Here is a 19,376-nt window from a genome sequence, read left to right as displayed (position 1 = left end):
AGAGACTGAGGGCAGTTCAAAAACACCCAGGGCCAAAGATGGGCCAATCTGAACATCAACAAGAATATTCTGCAATGGATTGAGGCATATCAAATATATTTAAATCCTTAATTTTATTAAAATTGTTAAAAATGTTTAATTTTGGAAGATGCTAGGTAACCAACTCATTATTTTGAATATTGGCGAATAAAGAGAAGAATCAAGCCTTTGGCCTTTCTTTGTTATAGGAACCTTAATGAAACCAAATATTGTCTTTATGGAGATATTTCAGCTCATAAAAGAAGACTAAATGGTGGGATTAGAGTATCATGATTTCCTAACTTCTGACAAATTTAGTAGGATCTAAGCAATGATTATCAATGGCTGCTAATATAACCACAAGTGAAACCACACATGATGCACCTTTGGATGAAAATACACAATCAATGTTACACGTAATGTACTATTGATAAAAATCAAGCATGAATTTGACCAAGTCTATAGACCTAAATTCTGGATTTCCAGAATTTATAAGGGAGAGAGGAACATATTAAATAGCACACAGGGAAATACTCCATGAAATCCCTGCCCGTGGGAAACTCTATAGACCAATATAGTTTTATCAACTGATAAATTGCAAAGGAAGTGGGTAGAGAGGAAAGAAGTGGTGAGAGAGAGACAGAGCGCAAGAGAGAGCGTGCTGTAGATTAAAAGAGACTTATTGAACTTCCTCCTCATTTGGTCTTATTTTGGTACATGGCAACTCCATTCTTTCAGGTGCTCAAGACAAAACCCAGGAGTCACCATTAATGCCTCTCTTTCTTCTGCATTCATCATCAAGCCTGCCCATGAATCCTCTCTGCTCTACCTTCAGTGTATTTCCAAAATTTGAACACGCCTCCTGCCAACCCACCACCACTACTAGGGTTAAAGCCATCCTGATTCCTAACCAGTCTGCTGCTTTCCACCCTTGCCTCCTCACATCTACACTCAACACGGGAGTCAGGGTGAGGTTTTTCAAATATAAGTGAGATTCTGATACTCTGCTCAAAGCCTTCAATGGCAGCGGGTCTTGTTCCAGTAGAAGTCAAGTCCTTAAAACAGCTGAAGTCCCTCCGTGACCTGGCTCCTCCCCGCCTCTATGCCCTCACATGTCAATCCTCCCTCCTTGCTCCTTTGGCACCAGCCATATGGACCTTTCATTCCTCAAACACATCAGCAGGGTCCCTCCTTAGTGCCTCTGCACCTGCTGCTTCCTTTGTCTTTCCTCGGCACCCTCAGGACCCACTCCTTCTTCTCTTCCAGTGCCAGCCTTTCCTTTCCTATTCTACAGCTGCTCTCTGCCTCCTCTTCCTGCTTTAATTTTCTCCCTAGCATTCATCTCCCCTTTACTTGCACACATTTTATTTTTTTAAAGTCTGTCCCCCCACATTAAAAGTTAAGAAAGCAGAGATTGCACAATAATTGGCACATAGTAGGGCTTCAGAAATATTAGTTGAGTAGAAAGAGGAATTAACGAAAGTTAATGTTCTCACTCATGAGTGGGAGTTGAAAAATGAGAACACATGGACACAGAAAGGAGAATATCACACACCAGGGCTTGTTGGGGGGTGCAGGGTAAATGGGAGGGAGAGCATTAGGACAAATACCTGATGCATGCAGGGCTTAGAACCTAGATGACAGGTTGATAGGTGCGGCAAACCACCATGGCACATGTATATCTATGTAACAAACCTGCACGTTCTGCACATGTATCCAAGAACTTAAAGGAAAATAAAAAAATAAAAAAGTAAAAGTTAAATAGATCCAAGCTACTCAATCTAGGAACAGTTTAAAGTCATTTTGGTCCCAGTTCTGGCTTGGTCAGGACTATCCTGTGAGACTCTAGACAAGTGACTTCATCTTCTAGGCTCTAAACCCCTTTCATCTATAACAACATCCCTCTCTGCTAGAGCACTTTCCAGTTTGCTCTTCTTGAATCAATCAGAAAAGTTCAGTTACAGTGTCCCCCATGGTAATATATTTTCTGTAGAATAAATATATTCCAGTTTTACCTTTAGCCTCTTTGTAACTGCCTTCCTTTAGTTCTTCTGATAAGCAAAGAAGCCACATCATATTTTAGTAATTCTGTCACTTTCTGACATGATTCTGATGATAAACTGTTTGTCATTTGTGTCCAGACCTGCAGATTTACCTTCACCTAATTAAAGATACATTAATTAAATTAGATTGGTTTTGATCTTTTCTGTTACAGTCAGCCTCTGGCATAAAACTTTCTAGTGTCTGACACTGCTTCCATTTTTTATTTTTTTTCTCACAAATCTCTATCAAGAGCCTTGTCCTGCAGTAGTACTCCAAATCTTTCTTTGACTCATGATGGAATAGCCTTCAAACCTGATGTCTTCTTTAAAGGGTCATAAACGTCTTTTCAATATAATGGTCATAAAGGCAAGCATTAATTTAAGCAAATAAAACCAAATGGTCACCCATTTACAGTCTCTATCTTACACAACTTCATTAACTTTAAAAATATTACCTATTTGCTGAGATTGAAGAGTCTCTACTGATTTGTTCCTAGTGACTTCTCAGCCCTAAACTCTACTTCTGCCCCTCTCACCACAAACATTTCTCTATCAAACCCCTATGCATTATCTGTTATATGTTTGTTTTGTAACACACCCATGCATTCAACAAATATTATTGAGTGCTTACGATATGACAGATACAGATCTAGGGAATGTATCTAAGGAAACCACAGTGCAATAAGCATTTATACATTTTTGGAGCTTGGGCAGGGTGTGGTGGCTCATGCCTGTAATCCCAGCACTTTGGGAAGCCGAGATAGGAGGATCACTTGAACCCACGAATTCAAGATCAGCCTGGGCAACACAGCAAGACCCTGTCTCAAAGTTAGTTTTAAAAATTCGATTAAAAAAAAAAAGTTTTGGAGCTTATATTCTTCCATTCTAGTGGCGGAAAAACAGATCGTAAGCAAAATAATTAAAATTAAACATATATATATATATATAGTTTGCCAGTGATAATGGCTGGGAGAAAAGCTACATCAAGGAAGGGAAGTATAGACCCTGTGAATGGGGATTGCCTTTTCAAATACAGCAAAAGCTGCAAAAGGCTTCACTGAGAAAATAACATTTGAATGTGTAAGGTAGTTATCCAGCAAGCCATGTGAATGCCTGGGGAAAATATTCCAGACAGAAGAAATACAAATGCAAATGTTCTAATTCTGGAATTTTCCCGGCATCATTCAGGTATACAAAGAGTCCACTGAGTGACAGAAGGAAGAATAGGAAGAAGCGGGAGTTAGAAATGGTTGGGCATGGGACGAGCATGACCAGCAGTCTGCTGTGTCATAGTAAGAGATCTGGCTTGTAGTCAAAGGAAAACAAGCAACTGTTGGCATTGGAGGATTTTGAGCAGAAAAGTAGCATGCTGTAACTTATTTATTGATATACTATTCTTCAATAAAATTATATTTTGGAAAGATTTGAAAAGAAATACACATGCACGTATGTATCTATTTTATAAAATAATTAAAAATTTTTACAGCGTCTTGTCATTTTTTTTCTGAGAAAGCACAATGTTTAAATTTTTATTTCATTTCAGTATTTTGGGGGGTACAGGTGGTTTTTGGTTACATAAAGTTCTTTAGTGGTGATTTCTGAGATTTTGGTGCACCCATCACCTGAGCAGTGTACACTGTACCCAATACGTAGTCTTTTATCCCTCACCCCATCCCTTCCCCGCCAAGTCCCCAAAGTCCATTATATCATTGTTATGCTTTTATGTCTTCATAGATTAGCTCCCACTTACAAGTGAGAACATACAATATTTGGTTTTCCATTGCTGAGTTATTTTACTTAGAATAATAGTCTCCAACTCCATCCAGGTTGCTGCCAATGCCATTATTTCATTCTTTTTATGACGAGTAGTATTCCATGGTGTATATATACCACATTCTCTTTATCCACTCATTGGTTGATGGACTTTTAGGCTGGTTCCATATTGTTGCAATTGCAAATACTGTTGCTGTAAAAATGTGTGTGCAAGTATCTTTTTCATATAATGACTTCTTTTCCTCTGGGTAGATACCCAGTAGTGGGATTGCTGGATCAAATGGTAGCTCTACCTTTAGTTCTTTAGGGAATCTCCATACTGTTTTCCATAGTGCTTGTACTAGCTTATATTCCCACCAGCAGTGTAGAAGTGTTCCCTTTTCACCACATCCATGCCACCTGTTATTTTTTGATTTTTTAATTATGGCCATTCTTGCAGGAATAAGGTAATGTATTAGTCCATGCTCATGTTGCTATGAATAAATACCTAAGACTGGGTAATTTATGAAGGAAAGAAGTTTAATTGACTCACATTTCCACATTGCTGGGGAGGCCTCAGGAAACTTACAATCATGGCAGAAGGCACCTCTTCACAGGGTGGCGGGAGAGAGAATGAGAGTTGAGCAAAGGAGGAAAAGCTCCCTATAAAACCATCAGACCTTATGAGAACTAACTTATTATCACAACAACAAGATGTGGGGAAACTGCCTCCATGATTCAATTAACTCCATCTGGTCCTCGCATAGGATTATGGGACCTATAATTCAGGATGAGATTTGGGTGGGGACATAGCCAAGGCATACCATTCTTCTCCTGGCCCCTCCCAAATCTCATGACCTCACAATTCAAAACACAATCATGCCTTTCCAATGGTCTTCAAAGTCTTAGCTTATTCCAGCATTAACCCAAAGGCTCAAGTCCAAAGTCTTGTGTGGGGGCTCCAACCCCACATATCTCGTCTGCACTGCCCTAGCAGAGGATCTCTATGAGAGCTTGACCCCTGTAGCAAAGCAAACTTCTGTTTAGACATCCAGGCATTTCCATACATCCTCTGAAATCTAGGTGGAGGTTCTCCAACCTTGGTTTTTGACTTCTGTGTACCCACAGGCCCAACATCATGTGAAAGTCACCATGGATTGGGGCTTGCATCCTCTGAAGCAATGGCTTGAGCTGTTCCTTGACCCCTTTTAGCCAAGGCTGGCGCTGAAGCAGTTGGGATGCTGGGCACCATGTCCCAAGGGCCTAACACACAAAAGATTTTTCCCTCCTAGGCCTCTGGGCCTGTGATGGGATGGGCTGCTTGTGCAAATTTCTGCAGCCTGTTTGAATTTCTCACCAGAAAACGGAGTTTTCTTTTCTACCTCATTGTCAGGCTGCAAATTTTCCAAACTTTTATGCTCTGCTTCCTCTTGAATGAGGCAGGGACAAAATGCCACCAGTCTCTTTGCATAGCAAGAGTCACTTTTACTCCAGTTCCCAATAAGTTCCTCATCTTCATATGAGACCACCTCAGACTAGACTTCATTGTCCATATCACTATCAGCATTTTGGTCAAAACCATTCAACAAGTCTCCAAACTTTCCCACATTTTCTTGTCTTATTCTGAGCCCTCCAAACTGTTCCAGTCTCTTCCTGTTACCCAGTTCCAAAGTTGCTTCCATATTTTTGGATATCTTTACAGCAGCACCCCACTACCCAGTACCAATTTACTGTATTAGTCTGTTCTCACATTGCTATGAAGAAATACCTGAGACTGGGTAATTTATAAAGGAAAGAGTTTTAATTGACTCTTAGTTTCACATGGCTGAGGAGGCATCAGGAAACTTAACAGCCATGGTGGAAGGCACCTCTTTACAGGGCAGCAAGAGAGAATGAGAGCAACGCAAAGGCAGAAAAGCCCCTTATAAAACCATCAGATCTCGTGAGAACTAACTTACTATCACAACAGGATTAGGGAAACCACCCCCATTATCCAATTATCTCTACCTGGTCCCTCCCGCAACACTGGGTTGGGGATCATGGGAACTACAATTCAAGATGAGATTTGGGTGGGGACACAACCGAACCACCATATCAGGTGGTATCTCATTGTGGTTTTGATTTGCCTTTCCCTGATAATTAGTGACATTGGGCATGTTTTCATATGTTTGTTGTCCATTTGTACATCTTCTTTTGAGAATTCTCTACTCATGCTCTTTTCCCACTTTTTGATGGGATTGGTTTTTTGTTGCTGATTTGTTTGAGTTTCTTGTGGATTCCGGATATTAGTGCTTTGTCACCTACATAGTGTGCAAAGATTTTCTCCCACTGTGGGTTGTCTGTTTACTCTGCTGACTATTTCTTTTGCTGTGCAGAAGCTTTTAGTTTAATTAGGTCCCATTTATTTATCTTTGTTTTTGGTGCATTTGCTTTCGGATGCTTTGTCATGAAATTTTTGCCTATGTCAATGTCTAGAAGAACTTTCCTGATGTTATTTTCTAGAATGTTTACGGTTTCAGGACTTACATTTAAGTCTTTGATCAATCTTGAGTTGATTTTTTACATAAGTTAAGCGATGAGGATGCAGCTTCATACTTCTACATGTGACTTGCCAATTATCCCAGCACCATTTGTTGAATAGGGTATCCTTTCCCCACTTAATGTTTTTGTTTGCTTTGTTGAAGATCAGTTGGCTTTAAATATTTGGCTATATTTCTGGATTCTCTATTTTGTTCCATTGGTCTACTTGCCTATTTTTACACCAGTACCATCCTGTTTTGGTCTCTATAGCCTTGTAGAATAGTTTTAATTAGGGTAACGTGATGCCTCCAGATTTGTTCTTTTAGCTTTGTCTTGCTTTGGCTATGCAGGCTTGTTTTTGGTTTCATATGAACTTTAGGATTGTTTTTTATAGTTCTGTGAAGAATATTGATGGTACTTTGATGGAAATTGCAATCTGTAGATTGATTTTGGCAGTATGGTCATTTTCACAGTATTGATTCTACCCATCCATGAGCATTGGGTTGTGTTTCCATTTGTTTGTGTCATTAATGATTTCTTTCACCAGTGTTTTGTAGTTAACTTTGTAGAGATCTTTCACCTCCTTGGTTAGGTATAGTCCTAAGTATTTTATTATTATTATTACTTTGTGAAGCTGTTGTAAAAGGGATTGAGTTATTGATTTGTTTCTCAGCTTGGTTGTTGTTGGTGTATAGCAGTGCTACTGAATTGTGTACATTGATTTTATATCCTGAAACTTTACTAAATTAATTTATCATATCTAGGAGCTTTTTGGATGAATCTTTAGGGTTTTCTAGGTATATGATCATATCATCTGTGAACAGCACAACTTTAATTTCCTCTTTACAGATTCTGATGCCCTTTATTTCTTTCTCTTGTCTGATTGCTACAGCTAGGAGTTCCAGTACTATGTTAAATAGAGGTGGTGGGGGTGGGCATCCTTCTCTTGTTCCAGTTCTCAGGATGAATGCTTTCAACTTTTTCCCATTCAGTATAATGTTGGCTGTGGGTTTGTCATAGATGGTTTTTATTACATTGAGGTACATCCCTTCTATGCCAATTTTGCAGAAGGTTTTATTCGTAAAGGGATGCTGGACTTTGTCAAATGCTTTTTCTGCATCTATTGGGATGCTCATATGACTTCTGTTGTTAATTATTTTATGTGATGCATCATATTTATTTGGTTGTGTATGTTAAATCATCCCTGCATCCCTGGTACGAAACCCACTTGATAATGGTGTATTATCTTTTTGATATGCTGTTGAATTTGGTTAGCTAGTATTTTGTTGAGGATTTTTGCATATATGTTCATCAGCAGTATTGGTCTGTAGTTTTCCTTTTCTGTTATGTCCTTTCCTGGCTTTGGTATTAGGGTGATATTGACTTCACAGAATGATTTAGGGAGAATTCCCTCCTTCTCTGTCTTTTGGAATAGTTTCAGTAAGATTGGTGTCGATTCTTCTTTGAATGTCCGTTAGAATTCAGCTGCGAATCCGTCTGGTTCTGGACTTTTTTGTTGGCTTTTTTTTTTTTTTTTTTTTTTTACTACTGTTTCAATTTTGCTATTTGTCATTGGTCAGTTTAGAATCTCTATTTCTTCCTGATTTAATCTAGGAAGGTTGTATATTTCCAGGAATTTATCCATCTACATTAGATTTCTAGTTTGTAAATGTGTTCATAGTAGCCTTGAATGATCTTTTGTATTTCTGTGGTATTGGTTGTAATATTTCCTGTTTTGTTTCTAATTGACATTTGGATCTTCTCTCTTTTTTTCTTGGTTATTCTTGCTAATGGTCTATCAATTATGTTTATCTTTTCAAAGAACCCACTTTTTTTCATTTATCTTTTGTATTTTTTTGTTTGTATTTCATTTAGTTCTGTTCTGATCTTTGTTATTTCTTTTTTTCTGCTGGGTTTGCATATTGTTTGTACTTGTTTTTCTATTTGCTTGAGGTATAATCTTAGATTTTTTTATTTGTGCTCTTTCAGACTTTTTGATGAGGGCATTTAATGCTATGAATTTTCCTCTCAGCACCACTTTTGCTGTATGCCAGAGGTTTTGATAAGTTGTGTCACTATCATCAATCAGCTCAATTTTTAAATTTTATCTTTATTTCATTGTTGACTCAATGATCATTAAGGAACAGGTGATTTAATTTCCAAGTATTTGTATAGTTTTGAGGGTTCCTTTTGGAGTTAATTTCCACTTTTTTTCCACTGTGGTCTGAGAGAATACCTGATATACTTTTTATTTTCTTAAGTTTATCAAGACTTGTTTTGTAAGCTATCATATGGTCTATCTTGGAGAATGTTCTGTGTGTTGAAGAAAGTAATGTATATCCTGCAGTTGTTGAGTAGAACGTTCTGTAACTATCTGTTAAATCCATTTGTTCTAGAGTATAGTTTATGTCTATTATTATTATTATTATTATTATTATTATTATTATTATTATTTTTGAGACAGAGTTTTGCTCTTGTTGCCCAGGCTGGAGTGCAGTGGTGCAATCTCAACTCACTGCAACCTCTGCCTCTGGGGTTTAAGTGATTCTCCTGCCTCAGCCTCCCAGGTAGCTGGGATTACAGGCACCCATCACGTTGCTTGGCTAATTTTTTGCATTTTTAGTAAAGACAGGGTTTTACCATATTGGCCAGGCTGTTCTTGAACTCCTAACCTCAGGTGATCCACCCACCTCAGCCTCCCAAAGTGCTGGGATTACAGCCATGAACCACAGCGGTCGGCCTATGTCCGTTATTTCTTTGTTGACTTCTCGTCTTGATGAACTATCTAGTGCTGTCAGAGGAGTATTGAAGCCCCCCCACTATTATTGTGTTGCCATCTATCTCACATCTTAGGTCTGGTAATAATTCCCTTATAAATTTGGGAGCTCCAGTGTTAGGTGCATATATATTTAGAATTGTGATATTTTTCTGTTGGAGTAATTCTTTTATCATTTTATAACGTTCCTCTTTGTCTTTTTTTTTTTTTTTTTTTAACTGCTGTTGGCTTTAAAGTCTGTTTTTTCCTGGTAGAAGAATAGCTACTGCTGCTTGCTTTTGGTTTCCATTTGCATGGAATATCTTTTTCCACCCCTTTACCTTAAGTTTATGTGAGTCCTTATGTGTTAGGTGAGTCTTTTGAAGACAGCAGATATTTTGTTGGTGGATTTTTATCCATTCTGCCATTCTATATCTTTTAATTGGAGAATTTAGGCCATTTACGTTCAACATTAGCAGTGAGATGTGAGGTACTGTTTTCTTCATCATGCTAGTTGTTGCCTTAATACCTTATGTTTTGTTTTAATTGTGTTATTGTTTTATAGGCCTGGTGACATTTATGCTTTAAGGAGGTTCTATTTTGGTGTGTTTCAAGATTTAGAACCCCTTTTAGCATTTCTTATAGCGCTGGCTTAGTTGTGGCAAATTTTCTCAGCATTTGTTTGTCTGAAAAAGACTTTATCTCTCCTTCATTTATGAAGCTCCATTTTACTGGATACAAAATCCTGGGCTGACAATTATTTTGTTTCAGAAGGCTAAAGATGACACCCCAATTCTTTCTGTCTTGTAAGGTTTCTATGGATAATTCTGCTATTAATCTGATAGGTTTTCCTTTATAGGTTATCTGATACTTTTGTCCCACAGCTCTTAAGATTCTTTCCTTTGTCTTAACTTTAGATAACCTAATGACTATGTGCTAGGTGATGATCTTTTTGGAATGAATTTCCCAGGTGTTCTTTGAGCTTCTTGTATTTGGGTATCTTGATCTCTAGCAAGGCCAGGGAAGTTTTCCTCAAGTATTCCCTCAAATATGCTTTCCAAACTTTTAAATTTCTCTTCTTCCTCCAGAAAACCAACTATACTTAGGTTTGCCATTTAACATAATCCCAAATTTCTTGGAGGCTGTGTTCACTTTTTTATTCTTTTTTTTTTCTTGTCTTTGTCTGATTGGCTTAATTTGAAAGCCTTGTCTTTGAGCTCCAAAATTCTTTCTTTTACTTGTTCTAGTCTATTGTTGAAACTTCCCACACTACACTTTTTGTATTTCCGTAAGTGTGTCTTTCATTTCCAAAAGTTGTGATTGTTTTTTCTTTATGACATCTATTTATGTGGAGAATTTTTCATCCATATCCTGTATTTTGTTTTAATATCTTTTTTTTTTTTTTTTTTTTTTTGAGACAGAGTCTCGCTCTGTCCCCCAGGCTGGAGTGCAATGGCACAATCTCGGCTCACTGCAACCTCCGCCTCCCAGGTTCAAGCCATTCTCCTGCCTCAGCCTCCCAAGTACCTGGGATTACAGGTGCCCACCACACACCAAACTTTTTGTATTTTTAGTAGAGACAGGGTTTCACTATGTTGGCCAGGCTGGTCTTGAACTCCTGACCTCATGATCCACCTGCCTCAGCCTCCCAAAGTGCTGGGATTTCAGGCGTGAGCCACCATGCCCCACCTTGTTTTAATATCTTTAAGTTTGTTTTCACCTTTCTCTGGTATCTGAGTACCTTAATAATCAACCTTCTGAATTTTTTATCTGGCTATTCAGAGATTTCTTTTTGGTTTGGATCCATTGCTGGGGAGCTGGTATGATCTTTTGGGGATACTATAGAACCTTGTTTTGTTACATTACCAGAATTACTTTTCTGGTTCCTTCTCGTTTGCGTAGATTATTTCAGTGGAGAGGTCTGAAACTCAACATCTGCTGTTCAGATTTTCTTGTCCCACAGGGTGATCCCTTGATGTGGTGCTTCCCCCCTTACCCTAGGGATGGGGCTTCCTGAGAGCTGGAACGCAGAGATTGTTATTGCTCTTTTGGGTCTGGTTACCAAGCTGGGCTACCAGGCTCTAGACTGGTGCTGGGGAATGTCTACAGAGTCCTATGATGTGATCCATCTTCAGGTCTCTCAATCATGGATACCAGCACCTGCTCTGGTAGAGGTGGCAGCGAAGTGAGGTAGACTCTGTGAGAGTCCATGGTTGTAGATATGTTTAGTGTGCTGGCTTTCTTGAATGATGGTTATGCTAGCAGTGATGTTTTCACAGGGACACGCTCAGGAACTCTGGTTAGCCAGTATCTTGTAGGCAGTGGAATTAGGTGTTGTCTTCTCCTTCCTGGGATCAGGGTTATTCTACCATGAGTTGCTGTAATGGCCTGAGTTGGTTGGCCTCCAACCAGAAGGTGGTGTTTCCAAGACAGCAACAGCTGCAGTATTAGTGGAGGGATCTAAGCTTGCCCTAACTTGGCCAGGGTAAGTATTTCAGTTTCTCAGGTGATGGGCAGGGCCATAAAGCTCCCAAGAGTTTATCTTTTGTAATCAGCTACTAGGGTGGGTAAAGAAATCCTATCAGGTCAGGGCAGGGTTATGCAGGTCTGAGCTCAGCCTCTCCTTGGCTGGGGCTTGCTATAGCCACTGTGGGGATGCAGGGTGGTTCTCAGGCCAAAAGACATCTTGGCTGCCTCTGCTGTGTCATATAGTTCACCAGAGAAGTGGGGAATAGCCATTAGTGAGAGGCCTAACCCACCCCCCCATGCAATTGGCAAGGCCAGTCTCACTCCCACAGTGCCCCAATAAGACCTTGCCTGAGGACATAGACTTCCCCACTAAAAAAGCAAGCATGGCCCTTGCTCCTTTGCATCTGCCCACTCCATTGGCTGCGGCTCCTGTGCTCGAATCTGCAGCCACTCCTGCTTGTCTCCTGGACTTCACCTGAGAAGATTTGTGCCCAGTTGAAACAACTACAAATTTCAGTTCAGAGTTTCCTTTGCACTGTGACTACTTCCCAATTCCTCTGGCTGCCTTCCCCAAGGGCCCCTATAAGATATCATCAGAGATGGCTTCCCTGGGCTTCAGCTGGAGACTGGGACTGCCTGCAAGGCATTTTCTGCTGCTACTTCTACTTTTATATTTCATGTGACTCCCTAAATCCATTTCAACTCCAGGAGAGGTTAAATCCTTCTTCCATAATCTCATGATCTGGATTTTCAGGTCCCCCAGTAGAAATGTATGTTTGGAGGCAGGTTTTCCTTCTCTCACACTTTGGGAATGCTCAGTTTTTCACCTGTTTCATGAAATTTGTAGTAGTGTGCTGCTTCTTTCAAAGGATCTGGGAATCCTTCAGGTTTTCCTGGTATGTTCCTTTGTTGGTTCTTGGAGCAACAGATCACAGTGTGAGTCTCCACACACAGTTCAGTTCATCCAGGTGAGAACTGCACATTAGCCCTATCTCCTATCTGCCATCTTGCCCACCAAGTCCAGTGCCATGACATTTTAAAACAATTTCTTTGGTAATTGACATTTTAAAATAATTTTTTGGTAATTGTGAGCACATGCAAACAATAATATATAAACTCTATTTTGATGAAATAGAACAGTTACTGTTGATGCATTTTACAAATTATTTTGTAACACTTGTATATTACACATTGCAATAACTCCTTTGGAACCATACAATATTTTTAAATTTTAAATTTTTGTGGGTACATCATAGGTATATATATTTATGGGGTACATGAGATACTTTGATACAGGCATGCAATGTGTAATGATCACATCACAGAGAAGGAGGTATCCATCCACTCAAGCATTTATGCTTTGTGTTACAAACAATCCAATTAGACTCTTTTTAGTTATTTTAAAATGTACAATTAAGTTATTATTGACTATGGTAACCCTGATGTGCTACCTAATAGTAGGTCTTACTATTCTATTTTTTGTACTTATTAACCATCCCCACTTCCCCCTGCAACCCCTCACTACCCTTCCCAGCCTCTGGAAACCATCCTTCCACCCTATGTCCATGAGTTCAATTGTTTTGATTTTTGGATCCCCCAAATAAGTGAGAACATGTGATGTTTGTCTTTCTGTGCCTGGCTTATTTCACTTAACATAATGATCTCTAGTTCCATCCATGTTGTTGCAAATGACTGTATCTCATTCTTTTTATGGCTGAATAGTACTCCATTGTGTATATGTACCACATTTTCTTTATCCACTCATCTGTTGATGGATGCTTTGGTTGCTTCCAAATCTTGGCTATTGTGAACAGTACTGCAATAAACATGAGAGTAAAGATATTTCTTCCGTATACTGATTTCCATTCTTTTGTGTATATACCCATCAGTAGGATTGCTGGATCATATGATAGTTCTATTTTCAGCTTCTCAAGGAAGTTCTGAATGCTTCTTAGTGGTTGTACTAATTTACATTTCTACCAACAGTGTATGAGGATTTCCTGTTCCCCATATCCTCACCAGCATTTGTTACTGCCTGTCTTTTGGATATAAGCCATTTTAACTGTGGTGAGATGATATTTCATTGTTGTTTTGATTTGCATTTTCTGATGATCAATGATGTCTAGCACTTTTTCACATGTCTGTTTGCCATTTGTATGTCTTCTTTTGAGAAATGTCTATTTAAGTCTTTGGCCAATTATTGAAACATATTATTAAAATTTTCCTATAGAGTTATTTTGAGCTCCTTATATAATATTCTGGTTATTAACACCATCTCAGATGGGTAGTTTGCAAATATTTTCTCCCATTATGTGGGGTGTCTCTTCACTTTGTTGATTGTTTGCTGTGCAGAAGTTTTTTTTTTAACTTGAGCTGATCACATTTATCCATTTTTGCTTTGGTTGCCTATGCTTGTGTGGTATTACTCAAGAAATTTTTGCCCAGACCAATGTCCTGGAGAGTTTCCCCAGTGTTTTCTTGTAGTAGATTCATATTTTGAGGTCTTTGCTTTAAGTCTTTATTTTGATTTGCTTTTTGTATATGTTGAGAGACAGAAGTCTAGTTTCATTCTTCCGCATATGAACATTCAGTTTTCCCAGAACCATTTATTGAAGAGACTGTTTTCCTAAGAGTATGTTCTTGGCACCTTTGTCAAAATGAATTCGCTGTAGCTGTGTGGATTTGTTTCTGGGTTATACATTCTGTTCCATTGATCTACATGTCTGTTTTTATGCTGTACCATGCTGTTTTGGTTACTCTAGCTCTGTAGCATAATTTGAAGTTAGGTAATGTGATTCCTCCAGTTTTGTTCTTTTTGTTCAGGATAGATCTGGTTATTCTGGGTCTTTTGTGGTTCCAAATAAATTTTAATTTTAAATTTAAAATTTTTTTTTTTATTTCTGTGAAGAATGTCATTGGTATTTTCATAGGAATTACACTGAATCTATAGATCACTTTGGGAAGGACGGACATTTTAACAATATTGATTATTTCAATTCATGAATATGAAATACCTTTTCATCTTATTGGTGTTCTCCTCAATTTCTTTCATGAGTGTTTTATATTTTTCATTATAGAGATCTTTCACTTTATGGTTAATTCCCAGGTATTTAATTTTATCTGTGGCTATTGTAAATGGGATTACATTTTGATTTTTTTGTTTCAGATTGCTCATTGTTAGCATATAGAAATGCTACTGGTTTTTGTATGTTGATTTTGTATACTACAACTTTGCAGAATTTGTTTATCAGTTCTAATAGTTTTTTTGTGGAGTCTTTAGGTTTTTCCAAATATAAGATCATATCATCTGCAAACAAGGATAATATGACTTCTTCCACTCCAATTTGGATGCCCTTTATTTTGTTCTTTTGTCTGAATGCTCTAGCTTAGGACTTTCAGTATTACGTTGAATAACAGTGGTGAAAGTAGGCATCCTTGTCATGTTCCAGATCTTCGAGGAAAGGCTTTCAGATTTCCGCCTTCAGTTCCTGTGCTTTTCTTATTGACAGAGTTCTTATTATAGCTTCGATCTTGTTACTGGATATTCATATCTTCAGGTTTTGGATTTCTTCCTGGTTAAATCTTGCTAGGTTGTATGTGTCTAAGAATTTGTCTATTTTTCCTAGATTTACCAATTTATTGGCATATAGTTGCTCATTGTAGCCACCAATAATCCTTTTAATTTCTGTGGTATCAGTTGTAATGTCTCCTTTTTCATCTCCAATTTTATTTATTTGGATCTTTTTTTCCTAGTCTGGCTAAAGGCTTGTCAACTGTGTTTAACTTTTCAATAAACCAAATTTTTGTTTCATTGGTCTTTTGTATTGTTTTCTTCAATTTTATTTATTTATGCTCTGATCTTTATTATTTCTTTCTTCCACTAATTTTAAGTTTGGTTTGCTCTTGCTTTTCTAGTTCTTTAAGCTGCATCATTAGGTTATTTGAAGTTTTTCTTCTTTTTTGATGTAGACAGTTATAGCTATAAACTTTCCTCTTAGTACTGCTTTTATCGTATCCCATAGATTTTTTGGTATGTTGTGTTTCCATCATCATTTGTTTCAAGCCATTTTTCAATTTCCTTCTTAATTTATTCATTGGCCCACTGGTCATTCAGGAGCATATTAATTTTCCAGTATTTGTAGAGTTTCAAAAATTCATCTTGTTATCAATTTCTAGTTTTATTCCATTGTGGTCAAAGAATATGCTTAATATTATTTTCATTTTTTGAATGTTTTAAGTCTTGTTTTGTGACCTAACATATGGTCTATCCTTGAGAATCATCCATATACTGAGGGAAAGAATGTGTGATCTGTAGCCATTGGATGAAATGTTCTATAAATATGCGTTAAATTCATTCAGTCTAAAGAGAAGATTAAGTCTGATGTTTTTTTGTTTATTACCTGTCCAGAAGATCTGTCCAGTGCTGAAGGTGAGGTGTTGAATTCTCTAGTTATTATTGTATTGGGGCCCATCTCTCTCTTTAGCTCTAATAATATTTGCTTTATATATCGCGGTACTCCACTGTTAAATGCATATGTATTTAAAACTGTTATATCCTCTTGCTGAAATGACACCTTTATCATTATATAGTGACCTTCTTTGTGTCTTATTATAGTTTTTGTCATGAAATCTAATTTGTCTGTTATAAGTGTAGCTACTCTTTTTCTTTTTTTGGTTTCTATTTGCATGGAATATATCTTTTTCCATCCCTTTATTTTTCAGTCTATGTGTCTCTTTATAGGTGAAGTGTGTTCCTTGTAGGCAACAGATCAAATGGTTTTTCTTTTTCATCTATTCAGCTACTGTATGTCTTCTGTTTGCAGAGTTTAGTTCATTTACATTCAATGTTATTATTGATAAGTAAGAAGTTACTCTTGCCATGTTGTTATTTGTTTTCTGGTTGTTTTTTTGTCTTCTCTTTCTTCCTGTCCTCCTTTAGTGAAGGTGATCTTCTCTGGTGGTATAATTTAGTTTCTTGCTTTTTATTTTGTGTGTATCCATTGTTTGATTTTGGTTTGTGGTTACCATGGGGCTTCCAAATACTATCTTATAACACATTTTTTTAAGCTGATAACAACTAACACTGTTTGTATAAACAAACAAATAAGCACAAGTAATAATAAAAACTCTATGCCTTACCTCTATCCTTCTGCTTTTTAACTTTTTGTTGTTTCTATTTATATCTTATTGTACTGTCTATGTCTTCAAAAATTGTTGTACTTTTTATTTTTTATTGGTTCATCATTTAGTCTTTTTACTTAGGATGAAGTAGTTTACACCTCAGTTACTGTGTTATAATATTCCATGTTTTTCTGTGTACTTAATATTACCAGTGAGTTTGTACTTTCAGGTGATTTCTTATTGCTCATTAACATCCTTTATCTTGTGGACTGAAGTACTCCCTTTAGCATTTCTCATAGGACAGGTCTGGTGTTGATAAAATCCCTCAGCTTCTGTTTGTCTAGAAAAGTCTTTATTTCTCCTTTATATTTGAAGGATATCATCACCAGATATACTATTTTAGGGTAAAAGTTTTTTTCTTTCAGCACCGTAAATATGTCATGCCCCTCTCTCCTGGTCTGTAAGGTTTCAACTGAAAAGTCTGCTACCAGACATATTGAAGCTCCATTGCCTGCTATATGCTTCTTTTCTCTTGTTGCTTTTAGAATCCTTTCTTTATCCTTGACCTTTTGGAGTTATTAAATGCCTTGAGCTAGTCTTCTTTGGGTCAAATCTGCTTAGTGTTTTATAACCTTCTTGTACTTGGATATTGATATCTTTCCCTAGGGTTTTGTTATTATACCTTTGAATTAACTGTCTACCCCATCTCTTTTTCTACCTCCTCTTTATGGCCAATAACTCTTAGATTTCCCTTTGGGGGCTATTTTCTAGATCCTGTAGATGTGCTTCATTTTTAAAAATTATTATTTCCTCTTGTTTTCACTGACTGTGCATTTTCAAATAACCTGTCTTCAAGCTTACTAATTCTTCTGTTTGATCTCTTATGCTATTAAAAGACTCTGATGCATTCTTCAGTATGCCAATTACCTTTTTCAAATCCAGAATTTCTGCTTGATTCTTTTTAATTCAATTAATTTAAAAAATATATAATTATATGATATATTAGTTATTTTTAATTAATATATAATTATTTTAATCTCTTTGTTAAATTTATCTGATAGAATTCTGAATACCTTCTCCGCTTTATCTTAAATTTGAGTTTCCTTAAAACAGCTATTTTGAATTCTCTGTCTGAAAAGTCACATATCTCTGTTTCACTAGGATTGGTTCCTGGTACCTTATTTAGCTCATTTGGTGAAGTCATGTTTTCCTGGATGGTGTTGATACTAGTAGATGTTCTTGGATGTCTGGGCATTAAAAAGCTAGATATTTATTGTAGTCTTCACCTTCTCACCTTCTTTGTCCCCATCCTTCTTGGCAAAGCTTTCCAGATATTCAGAAGGACTTGGGTATTGTGATCTAAGCTGTAACAGCTTTAGGGGGCACCCCAAGCCCAGTAATGCTGTGTTTCTTGCAGACTCATAGACATACTACCTTGATGGCCTTGGACAAGATCTGAAAGAATCCTATGGATTACTGGACGAAAACTCTTGTTCTCTTTCTTCTTCCTCCCACACAAATAGAGTGTCTCTCTCTGTTCTGAGCCACTGAAAGCTAGGGGTGGAGTGACACAACTACTCCTTGGCCACCACCACTAGGATTGTGCTGGGTCAGATCTAAAGCCAGCACAGGACTGGGTGTTGCCCCAAGACCTGCTGTAACCACTCCCTGGCTGCTGCCTATGTTCGCTCAAGGCTCTGGGGTTCTACAATCATCAGGTAGCACAGCCAGCCAGGCCTATGTCCTTCCCTTCAGGGTGGCGAGTCACCCGAGGTCCCAGGTAGGTCCAGAGTTGCCATCCTCCAGCAATCAGGGACCAGAGTCAAAAACCTCAGAACTCCACCTGTTCTGTTGTACTGTGGCTGAGCTGTCACTCAAGCCACAAGATGCAGCACTTCCCACTCTTCTCTCTCCTTCCAAAGGAAAAGGAGTGTCACCCTGTGGTCATCACCACAACGGGCCACAGGGAATATTGCTAGCCTATCTCCAATATTCCCTTAAGGCCCACGGCTCTCAAGTCAGTTTGTGATGAATACTGCCTGGTCCGGGACTCACCCTTCAGGGCAGTGGAAGAGCCATTAAATCTTAAGTGACAAATGGATATGAACAATTTTTCATGTGTCCACCATCTAGAACAAAACATGTATTTACACTCTACAGATTTTCCTTTGCTAGTATCATAAGTAGAAAAATTAAGAATCTTATTCCCATATTTAGTGTGTTTATATGTGTTATCATTTATGCATATAATGCAAACAGAAACTACTGCATATAGCAAATTTTAAATTTCTAAGTTTCATTTCACAAATAAGCCACGGATTAACTAATGCTTTTTAAATACTGTCTTTGGATTACTATGTTATGAAAATGTCTTGTGGAACTACTGAGAATTTAGTATCTGTCTCATCATGTAATCACCTATTTTTAAATTGTCACAATTTATTTTGTTGTAAATACTGCTGATTTAATGGTATATTTGAAACACTGGGCATGTATGGAACATACTCTGGAGACCTGTTCCTGTCTCTGGCAATAACGGGCCCTCAAGATTAACCAGTGTAGTCATGTTGACATGAGCACATTAGAAAAATCCCTCTGCTGCCTCCACTACTGACCCCATATTCTCAACATATCTGTAATCCTCAAGTAATTCACTTCTCAAGAACTCAATTCCTTGCATGGCTGGAGCTCTGGCCAGG

At 37.8% G+C, this 19,376-nt stretch overlaps 1 protein-coding gene across 2 annotated transcripts in view; it reads right to left on the bottom strand.

Annotated features, from left to right (window-relative positions):
* Positions 1-19,376, bottom strand: part of CNTNAP2 (contactin associated protein 2) — a 2,304,198-nt gene that overhangs the window by 782,806 nt on the left and 1,502,016 nt on the right. The window lies entirely within an intron of this gene.

The sequence above is a fragment of the Homo sapiens genome, chromosome 7 (assembly GCF_000001405.40).
Source record: "Homo sapiens chromosome 7, GRCh38.p14 Primary Assembly".
Taxonomy (NCBI): Eukaryota; Metazoa; Chordata; class Mammalia; order Primates; family Hominidae; genus Homo; species Homo sapiens.
This window is presented reverse-complemented; position numbering and strand designations above follow the sequence as displayed.